The following is an 11,764-nucleotide window of genomic DNA, read 5'->3' as shown; positions in this document are numbered from 1 at the left end:
TGGCTTGGGTCGTGTACCCACCTTTGGGGGTGGAGCCTCATTGTGATAGGCAGTTCCAACAGGACCACATAGAATGAGAGAGGGGTTTTCCCAAAGGAAAAGTGGGATGATGGCATCAAAGGAAAGGAGAATGAATGTTGAGCAGAGAAATGCAAAGATGTCCACAGGGCTTCTGAGTTTGCGGGGCCTCTGTACCCACACTTCCTACTGCTTCTCCTCCTCGACCATCAGCTGAACCCTGTTCATCCTTCAGGGGTCAGCTCAGGTGACAGCTCATCTCTGTAACTCTCCTTGAAAGCCTCCAGGCAGAATTAATTGTCCCCTTCTCTGTGACGCCCACACCTCTGCTTCAGATGCTCACACATTTGCTTTTCTGTGTCCACTGGGATCAGCACTTAGTCTTGTCATCTTTTCAATCAGCAGAGTGTTAGAAAAGTAAACGTTTGCTAAATGGAATGTGTTCAATTATTTTCTTTCTTTGTAAGGACTTGGTAACCATTAATTTGCACCTATTTTGAGCATCTCCAGGCAACACTTGGGTGGTTGCTCCTGTTCTGGCAATTTCTTTCTGACTTCTGGCAGTGTCTCTATTTGTGTTGTAAGATTTGCTGGGAAGACCAGAGCTAGTTTGCTTTGTCTTTGAGACATGCTCTTTGTTTTGCATCTAATCTTGCTGGTTTTTCTTCCTTTGGTTGTCATTTCTTTTTGTTTAAGGGACTTGTATTGTTTGTTTTGTGTTCTGGCTGACAAGAAAACACCCTGGGCCTTGGTATGCTCTCCTGGGTATCATGATGTATCTTCTGGAAACTGATGACAACAAAATTCATATGCCAAGATTAAGACTCTGGGGCCTAGAGCCTGGGCACGGTGGCTCACGCCTGGGAGGCCGAGGTGGGTGGATCACAAGGTCAGGAGATAGAGACCATCCTGGCTAACACGGTGAAACCCCGTCTCTACTAAAAATACAAAAAGAAAAAAAAAATTAGCCAGGCGTGGTGGTGGGCACCTGTAGTCCCAGCTACCCAGGAGGCTGAGGCAGGAGAATCACTTGAACCTGGGAAGCGGAGCTTGCAGTGAGCCGAGATTGGGCCACTGAACTCCAGCCTGGGAGACAGAGCAAGACTCCATCTCAAAAAAAAAAAAAAAAAAAAAAAAAAGACTCTGGGGCCTAGAGCAAATATCTCCAGAATTGCCCCAATCCAGTTGAGGTTCTTCTGAATTTTTCTCTGAGAGTAGTTTCAGCTCCACAGTTTTATTAAATTGGTTTGGATTTGGTTTTTCTCCTCAACCTCAAAACAGTGAGCCTTTCTCCTCAACCCACTTCCAATTGTAATAGGCATTTCTGAATTTACTATAAATAGTTCTAGAAATGCCCTTGTTTCTGGAAACACAGTAGTGAGAGGGACACACTCTGATTGTTTCAGCAGCATCCCTTTGCCTCTTAACACCTTCCTTCCAGAACCCATATTTCTATTTGGGGAGCCGCTCCTTCCATATTGCACAGCAATTGTGCGGTTGGGTGAACTATTTCCCCGCCCTCAGATCCAAGGGTGGGTCCCAAAGGATAAGTCCCAATCAGCTTCCATCTTATCTCCTTTGCAACAAAGATTGAGCTAGGTTTAATCAGAACAAAGCTAAAGACTTTTATTCAGTGACTGTGGGAAGTTGTGCTTCCTCTGTTCTCTCCATGAGGAAATAGGAGGTCAGTCACGGTGGCACATGCAGTCATCTTCCAACCATGACAGAACCAACTTAAGAACAAAGATGACACTAGGACAGAGCAGGGTAGAAAGAACTGTAAGAGAAACAGCCAGAACCATGACCCAGCCACACCTGAAAGCTTTCAGACCTCTGGAATCTTTGCTGACCTGTGCCAACAAACCATTTTATTGTTTAACTTAGGAAAATTGGTTCTTTTGTCACTTGCAATGGAAAGCACCAATATATAAATATATATTGTCATATAAAAAGTCATTTAATAAATATATATCTTCTTTTATTCATTCAGCACGCATTTGTTGATCACTTATTCTGTGCGAAGCACCAAGGATATAATGATGAATCTTTTACTCTCATGGAGCTTAGCATCTGCAAATGAAGAGAGAATCAAAGAGTCACCAAATTTTTTAAAATGCTAAATAAACTATGATGAGTGCTCTGAGAGAAAAGTACAAATGCCTTAAAAACATGGAATAGATTTCTGTGACAGAGACAACAAAGATTCTGGTTCTTCTTCCTTGGTCATTGGGAGATTATTACTGGAATGAACACAACTGTTCAGACAGCGACTACATTTCCCAGTGTCCTTTGCATCTGAGTGAGGTCATGTGATTTATTCTCCCCAGTAGAATGTGAACAGAAGTGATGGCTATGGCTTTTAGGCTAAATGGTTAAGAAATGGGTGTTTCTCACATATGTTCATTGCATCACTGTTCACAACAGCAAAGACATGGAATCAACCTAAATGCCTATTAATGGTAGACTGGATAAAGAAAATGTGATACATACACACCATGAAATACTACCAGCCATAAAAAAGAATGAGATCATGTCTTTTGCAGGAACATAGATGGAGCTGGAGGTCATTATCCTTAGCAAACTAACACAGGAAGAGAAAACCAAATACCACATGTTGTCACTTATAAGTGAGAGCTAAATGATGAGAACACATGGACACATAGAGGGGAACAAGAGACACTGGGGCCTACCAAAGGATGGAGAGTGGGAGAAGGGAGAGGATCAGGAAAAATAACTAATGGGTACTAGGCTTAATACCTGGGTGATGAAATAATCTGTACAACAAACCCCCATGACATGAGCTTACCTATATAACAAACCTGCACTTGCACCCCTGAACTTAAAAGTTAAATAAATAAGAAATGGGTGTTTTTTTCCGCACCTTCTCTCTTCCCTGTCTGCTGGCTAATGTCAGTGCTCAGGATGACTTTGAAAGCCACACGTCAAAGACAGAAAAGCCTTCATCAACCTGGATCCCTGAAAGGCGGCATGGGCAGAATGCCCCACCCATCACCCCATTTCAACCCTCGCCAACCCGCATTCTCCTGTTACATGAAAGAGAAATAAACTTGTGTTAAGTCACCGAAACTTGGGGAGTTGTTTGTTGCAGCCACTAGCATTATCTTAACTGATATGACTTCTTTGGTGAAGTGACGTCAGTGCTGAGACAGGAAGGAGTTACCTGGTTAAAGAGCAGAGTGTGAGCCACAACATTCCAGGGAATTGTTCCTGGCCAGAAAGGAACAAGGTGCAGATAAGGAATTTGTTTGTTTGTTTGTTTGTTTTGAGACGGAGTCTAGCTCTAGCTCTGTTGCCCAGGTTGGAGTGCAGTGGCACCATCTTGGCTCACTGCAACCTCTGCCTCCCCAGTTCAAGCGATTCTCCTGCCTCAGCCTCCCGAGCAGTTGGGATGACAGGCGCCCACCACCATGCCCCACTAATTTTTTTTGTATTTTTAGTAGAGACAGGGTTTTGTCATGTTGGTCAGGCTGGTCTTGAACTCCTGACCTCAAGTGATCCGCCCGCCTTGGCCTCCCAAAGTGCTGGGATTACAGGCATGAGCCACCAGCAGATAAAGATTTAAAAGAAGGCTGGTGTGTACAACTACCATGTGTCATAGGCTGTGTTGGGCAACCCACTGAGCCATTCCCCAGCATCTATACTGCAATGTGGCTCTCTCTTCTCTACTTGTCTTTTGCCTGGGCAGTTATTCAGTGTGAGGGGTCACTTAATGGTTTTCAGTTATGCCTCATGTATGTCCAATCGGCCAGGCCCTGAGTGTGCAGTGTTCTCAGAGGGGCTGAGTAACTTATTCAAGGTCACAGAACTTCTAAGTGGCAGAACTGGGACTTGAACTCAGGTCTGTTTGTCCAAAGTCCATGGATGTTATCATGGTATGTTAATAGGCAGCCTATTACCTCCTGCTATCGTCTGTAAATTTGGAGATTCGTGAATGTCTTGGGATACATCTACTGTGAATATACCCCCTCCCCATGCATGGATTTGCCATAATTGGAAGCAAAGCAAATCAACATCTTTACTAAGTACCTGCTAATTGCAGGGGCTTGTGCTCAATGTGAGGGAGAAGCAAAGAAACAGAAAGGCAAGAGACCCAAATTTAACCTCGAATTTGGCCACTAACTCCCTGAGTGACTTTCAGCAAATCCCTGCTCCTCTCTAGGCCTCAGTTTCCCCTTATATACTATGAGAGGTTTGGATGACATAATCTCTAAGGCCTCTTCAGGCCTGATACACCCAAGGTCTATAAGTAGAAGACAGTTCCCTCTTTGACCATTCACGTCTCACTGCCCTGCTCCTCTGATGCTACCTAATAACCCTCTGGACTTCACTGTTTGTTGCTTTGACCCCTCGTGCATTGATTCCTATGGAATGACAGGAAGATAGATTGTGACTTTTGCTTAGCGATGGCTCCTATTCACTGTGGTGGCCTCTCTGACATATATCCTGTCCTTCACCCATTGTTTCAGCAGGAAATGGGACTGGCCCCAGGCTTAGTCCCAGGAAGTGGGCTCTGATAAGTGTAACCCATCAGGGGTCACTGGCCATGGTAATCCAAATCTAAGCCAACTACCACTTTCCACTTTCCCAAGCACAAGAATTGAGTCAGTCAGCAAAGGACCTAAGGTGAGCCCATTAGAGCTCTTGCTGATGGTGGAGGAAGAGGTCTGTCTCTTGAATGAGAAAGAGGAAGCAGGTAGCCCCAGGAAGCCACTGGCTGGTGCTCATATCACTACTGTGGGCAACAAAAAAACTCAGAATAAAGGGGACAAATCCAATATGTGGAGGAAAGCAGAAGCAAGTGGAAAATCACAGAGAAACTGAACCTGAGACCTGATCAAACCTAAGCTGAAGGCTGATCTACCTATGGACTCTTTAGTTACTTGTGCAAAAATTCCCTGTAATGGTTAAGCCATTCTTTTTTTTTTTTTTCTGTTCTTTACAACCAGTGGAATGCAAGCTCTGAGAAAGCAAGTGAACTGTCTGTCTTCCTTGCCCTTGCCTAGAATAGCACCTCACATAGTAAGTGCTCAATAATATTTACTGAAAGAATGAATAAGCTGAAACATCTTGGGCTCCAGGAACTTATCATGTCTAAAAGCAGGGACATGAATCTCTATAAAATCTCTATGAAACATTGTCCCTGCCCTCCAGATGCTTCCAGGGTAATCATCAATGTGTGTGTAAGTCAGGGATTGGCAAACTATGGCCCATGGGCCAAATCCAGCCTACTACCTGTTTTTATTATAAATAAAGTTTTATTGGTATATACTCATGCCCTTTTGATTGCCTATTGCCTATGGCTGCTCTTGAGCTACAAGGACAGAGTTGAGTAGTGCAACAGACCATATGGCCCATAAAGGCTTAGAATATATATTATCTGGTCATTTACAGAAGAAGTTTGCCATTGCCTGGTATAAGTCATTTTGAAGCTATCCGAGAATGGTGCTTTTCCCATTAGTCTATGATAAATTGTTTAATGGCCATAAATGCCTCCCATCCCAGCATGTAGGTTTCTTTGTAATGTGACTTTGTTACTCCCCACCTTCAGAGGTGGCATCTATTTCTCAGGCTCCTTGCATCTGGACTGGCATTGTAACTTGCTTTGATCAAATGGATGTGGCAAAAGTGCTGCTGCAGGTGGGCCCCAGGGCCTGGGCTTCCAGAGGTGAAGAAGTTTCTGCCTTTGCCGTCTTGGAAGCCCATCAGGCCACACGAAGGAGTGGCCACACCCCTCATCCTAGTGGAGGAAGGGCACTGAAGTGCCCCAGCTGACAGCCAGCACCAGCTACCAGACATGGGAGTGGGGTCATCTTGGACCTTCCAGCCAAGCCAGCCATCCAGCTGATGACAGCCATCTGAATGAGCCCAGGGGACACCAACAAAGGAACCATACAACGGACCCCAAGAATTGTGAGAAATACAACTGACCCCAAGAACTGCTGTTGCTGGCTGGGTGTAGTGGCTCGTGCCTGTAATCCCAGCACTTATGGAGGCTGAGGCAGGCAAATCATTTGAGGTCAGGAGTTTGAGACCAGCCTGGCCAACATGGTGAAACCCCGTCTCTACTAAAAATACAAAAAAAAAATTAGCCCAGACGTGGTGGCACACACCTGTAATCTCAGCTACTCAGGAGGCTGAGGCAGGAGAATCACTTGAACCCGGGAGGCAGAGGTTGCAGTGAGCCAAGACCACGCCACTGCACTCCAGTCTGGGTGACAGAGTGAAACTCCATCTCAAAAAAAAAAAAAATACTGTTGCTTTAAAAAGCCACTGTGTTTGGGGGTGGCTTGTCACTAGCAACAGATTATTGGAACCCAGCCTCTTTCCCATCTGGCATCCCCCACTAAGATCCCACCAGAGCCAGGGCTATGGCACGATTTAGAACTGCGTGGGTGCCTGCAGTTTCTCTCAGGTGAGAAAACAGAGGCCCGGGGGTGCCTCCCTAGGCTAGGGACAGAGCCAGAAGCCTCATCTCTCGCCACCCCGTGTGAGATTCTTTCCTCCACCCTGTGTCTCGGACTCCTTAGATTCTGAAGGAGTGGTCCCCTCACTGGCGCTCCATTGTTCCCTGGACAAAGACCAACCAGGCCCAGCTGTGCCACTTAACAAAGATGCTGGTGACCTTCTAAAAGATGACAGCAAACCCACGCCATGGACTCCCATTCTTTACTTTCCATCACAGACAAGAGAGCCCAGCTGTGTGATGACAGCTGTGCAAAGCTTGTTCCTACTGGAGGGACAAGCCTCCCAGGCCTTTGGGTGCCCACAGAAGCTCCCTGCTGTGGGGAGCAATACTAGGATGAAAATAGCACAGGGTCTGTCAGAAAAGTGTCCCTTTCTCCTGGGGGACTCCCTGGTCCTCGCCACCACCTGCAGGCTCTAGGCCACCTGCACCAGCTCAAGCAAAAGCCTTTCTGTCAAGGGAATGGGAGGTCAAGGTCCCAGGGTCAGCTTCCCAGCAAATCATGCCCTTCCAGCCCCACCCACCACCAGCCCCAGGTCCTCAGCTTCCTTTCAGCCTTTCCTGGGTGCCATCTCCCTCGGACCACAGGGCCTTTGCACAGGCTGTTCCTCCATTTAAACTCTCTCTACTTCTTTCTCTACCTGGGGAACTTTTTGAGATCCCTGGTCAATCATTTCTTCCACAGAGAAGCCCTCACTGACCCCCTGCCCAGAAGAGACAGCCCCATAAAACACTCTCATAGCCCCATGGAACTTTTTTTTTTTTTTTTTTTTTGAGATGGAGTCTCACTCTGTCACCCAGGCTGGAGTGCAGTGGTGCAATCTTGGCTAACTGCAACCTCCGCCTCCCGGGTTTAAGCGATTCTTCTGCCTCAGCCTCCCAAGTAACTGGGACTACAGGCCCGCACCACCACACCCAGGTAATTTTTGTATTTTTAGTAGAGACAGGGTTTCACCATATTGGCCAGGCTGGTCTCAAACTCCTGACCTTGTGATCCACCCACCTCAGCCTCCCAAAATGCTGGGATTACAGGCGTGAGCCACCACACCTGGCCAACCCCATGGAACTTTCTATCAAGCTACTTACCTCTATCTGTAAGTGTCCATTCGGTATGTAATGAGTAATATCTGTCTCCCCACTGGACTGTAAGCTCCACGAGGGCAGGAACCACACCTGGTTTTGCTCTCTGATGGATGCCCACCACATACTAGGTCCTCAATATAGTTTATTGACTCAAGAAGCAATTAATTCTTCCAGGAATAAGGTTATCCCATTTTGCTTAGAAATCCTTAAAGGTCTGAGGGAAGCAACATAAGGCTGAGTGATGAGATGTAGCAGATAAGGGCCCTCAGCACAGTGCCACCATGTGGGGCATTAACAAATGAGATTCATTTGTTCTGCCATCTTTATTGTTAGGATAATGATGATGATGGTGGTGGTGATGATGATGATGATGGTGGTGGTGTTAGTGGTAATGATTGTGATGGTGATGACAGTGATAGTAATGGTGAGTATGATTACGGTAATTTCATGATGATTATGATGGTGATAATGGTGATGGTGATAATGATGATAATGGTGATGGTGATTATAATGATGGTGATGGTGATAATGATGATGGTGATGACAGTGATGTTGATGGTGATGATAATGGTGATGAGGATGATGATGTGGTGATTTTATTAGTCCATTCTCGCGTTGTTATAAAGGAATACCTGAAACTGAGTAATTTATAAAGAAAAGAGGTTCTATAGGCTGTACAAGAAGTATAGTGGCTTCTGCTTCTCAGGAGGCCTCAGGAAACTTAAATTGTTGGGAAAAGGGCTTGTGGGGTGCCTGTATAAACTGGCCATAAAAATATAGGAAAATAAGTTGTGAAAAGCCACAAAAGGCCTCTGAGGAGGAAAGCCTCCTAATTGCCATCATGTTCCCATGCTCAGAGCGAGACCCGCTCTCTTATTTGTAAACACTGTATTCCAGGAGAAAGACACTCCTTTGAAGCATGGGAATGCGGACAGACATGCAGGCTCCTAGTTAAGCCCACTCCCACTAGCTACTCTCCAATAAGTTAAAGATACACTGAGCACAAGGAGATTCATTTAAACTACTATTGCTATAAATTACACCTATGATGCACTGCCACCCTTTCACTGTTTCACCCTGAACATCTGCTTTTTACATCTAAGTGACTGTACCCAATAAATAGTGTGGAGACCAGAGCTCTGAGCCTTTTGCAGCCTCCATTTTGCAACTGGTCCCCTGGCTCCCACCTTTATGAACTCTTAACCTGTCTTTTCTCATTCCTTTGTCACCACCGGACTTTGGGTACCCTACGGGTGGTGTTGAGGCTGGTCCTCAACATTCTGGCGCCCAACGTGGGGCCTGAAAGAATCCGGTGAAGGAACACTCAAGTGTGTGAAACAGAGGACCAACAGACAAAGGACTCCCAAGGATGAAAAAGTTTCAAGCTCTGCAGGTAAGCGGGGCACTCGGAGAAAGCTAGGGACACAAATGGGACAAACTGAAAGTAAGTACATCATATATTTGAGCTTGCTACAGCAGCTCTTGAAGCATGGTAGGGTAAAAGTTGATACAGAAAAACTTATGGATTTCTTTCATGCTGTGGAACAATTTTGCCCTTGGTTCCCAGAACAGGGAACTTTGGAATTAAAAGATTGGGAAAGAGTTGGAAAGGACCTTAAAGGAGCACATAGAAAGGGAAAGGAAATCCTTTGCCTGTTTGGTCAGTTTGGTCATTGGTGTGTGCAGCACCAGAGCCTTTTCAGACAGATGATGAGGCTGAGTCAGAGGAGGAGAGAGAGGAGTTTAATGATCAGGACTCTGAACCACCTCTACCAAGTACTAACAAAAAGGAGGGTCCAGAGATGATTTCTCCCAATTCCCCTAGTCTCCCTAAACCTACTCAGAAAATTGTTCAGCCCATGCCTCCTTCAGAGGAATGTCCAGAATGGCCACCTCCTCCTCAGCCAAGTGAGTGTAGGGGGAGGGAGCCCAAGACTCAGCTCGCCGTGCCCATTATTGCCTGACCAGCAGTTTGTTATGGAGAGGGGGATATTCAGGCTCATCCTGCAGTTCACTATGGAGAAGGGGCCATACAGGCTTCCATTCATCAGTCACGAGAAAGTGGGGACTTGGAGACTTGGTAGCTTCCAGTGACTATAATACCGCCTCAGCAGACTGGGGGGCATGCTCAGGCTCACTAGGAATCTTTTCCTTTTAAAAGATTAAAAGATTAAAACAAGCAATAGGGCAGTATGGACCTAACTCACCTTATATTCAGACCTTATTACAGGCTGTGGCTTATGACAAATGTCTGTGCCGCTATGATTGGGAGACATTAACTTGGTCTACTTTATCCCCTTCTCAATTTTTACAATTTAAGCCTTGGTGGACAGATGAGGCCACTAATCAGGTGCATAGAAATGCTAGATCTCAGCCACCTGTTAACATTACCTCTGATCAATTGCTTGGAATAGGACAAGCCTGGGGTACAACAGAACAAGATAGTGATGAATGATGAAGCCATTGCATAAATCAGATCAGTGTGTATGAGGGCCTGGGAGAAGATTCAGGATCCCAGTGTTACATATCCCTCCTTTAATTCAGTCAGACAGGGCCCTAATGAACCTTACCCAGACTTCATTGCCTGCCTAAAAGATGCAGCTCAAAAGGCTATCTTGGACGCACATGTCCGAGAGACAATTGTCCAACTATAGGCCTTTGAGAATGCTAATTCTGAGTGCCAGGCGGCCATTAGACCTGTTAAAAGAAAAGCACCAAAAGACAAGGTATTAAGTCAATATATTAAAGCCTGTGATGGCATTGGAGGACATGTATACAAAGCTAACCTCCTAGGCCAGGCAATGGCAGGTTTAAAAGTTGGAAATAACACACAAAAGTTCTCAGGGTCCTGTTAAAATTGTGGACAAATGGGGCATACTAAAAAACAACGTGAGAAGGGTCAAAACAACAAAAACACACGATAACTTTTCCTCAGCCCAAAGAGCTGAATTACAGGCATTGATTACAGTATTAAAAGATTTTAATCAGCCAGTTAATATTCTTTCAGACTCAGCTTATGTTGTGTAAGCTACTCAGCATATTGAAACTGCCTTCATTAAATATATTATTGATGAACAGCTTTATCAATTGTTCAACTCTTTACAAACAACCGTGCATACTCAGGATTTTCCTTTCTATGTAACTCATATCTGAGCACATACCAATCTTCCAGAATGCTTGACTGAGGCTAATGAGCAAGCTGACTTGTTGGTTTCCCCCATACTTACTGATGCCCAAAGTTTCCACTCATTAACACACCTTAACGCAGCAGGACTTAAAAACAAATATCAAATTATGTGGAAACAGGCCAAGGACATTGTACAACATCGTCCTCAGTGCCAGGTACTGCAACTATCCCATCAAGAAACTGGTGTTAACCCTCGAGGGTTGACACCTAACATGATCTGACAAATGGATGTCACCCATGTTGCTGCCTTTGGCAAACTTTCTTATGTCCATGTGATCATAGATATTCTCATTTTATATGAGCTACTTGCCAAACCAGCAAGGCTGCAGCACATATAAAAAGACACCTGCTTTCCTGTTTTGCTGTTGTAAATTCCACAAAAATTAAAAACAAACAATGGACCAGGCTACTTTAGTAAATCTTTCCAAACATTTTTAAAACAATAGAGCATTGAACACAGTATGAGTATCCCCTATAATTCTCAAGGGCAAACGATTGTTGAGTGAGCCAATCGAACCTTAAAAATGCAATTACATAAACAGAAAATAGAGGGAGATAGGGAAAATTCCACCCCTCATATGCAATTACAATGGGCTCTTGTTACCTTAAATTTTTTGAACATCTCCCGGAATCACGTTACTACAGCAGCTGAACAGCATTTAACAGGACAGAAGGTAAATGTTCATGAGGGAAAACCTGTGTGGTGGAAGGACTTTAAAACAAAGTCCTAGGAAAGAAGGAGAGTTATAACTTGGGGAAGAGGGTTTGCTTGTATTTCCCCAGGAGAAAACCAGCTTCCAGTTTAGGTACCTACAAGACGTCTTAAACTCTACCATGAGCAAAATTCCAAAGAAGAGAAAAGGATTTTGGAACCAAGATCTCCACCTCCCAGCATGCCTGATGGCTCGAATGAATGTTTCAGCCGACCAGATGAAGACCAACAAAACCCATCAAGCAAGCCCACCGACTTGAGGACAGATCAAGAGGCTGAC

This window comes from Homo sapiens, chromosome 1 (genome assembly GCF_000001405.40).
Source record: "Homo sapiens chromosome 1, GRCh38.p14 Primary Assembly".
Classification (NCBI taxonomy): domain Eukaryota; kingdom Metazoa; phylum Chordata; class Mammalia; order Primates; family Hominidae; genus Homo; species Homo sapiens.
This window is presented reverse-complemented; position numbering follows the sequence as displayed.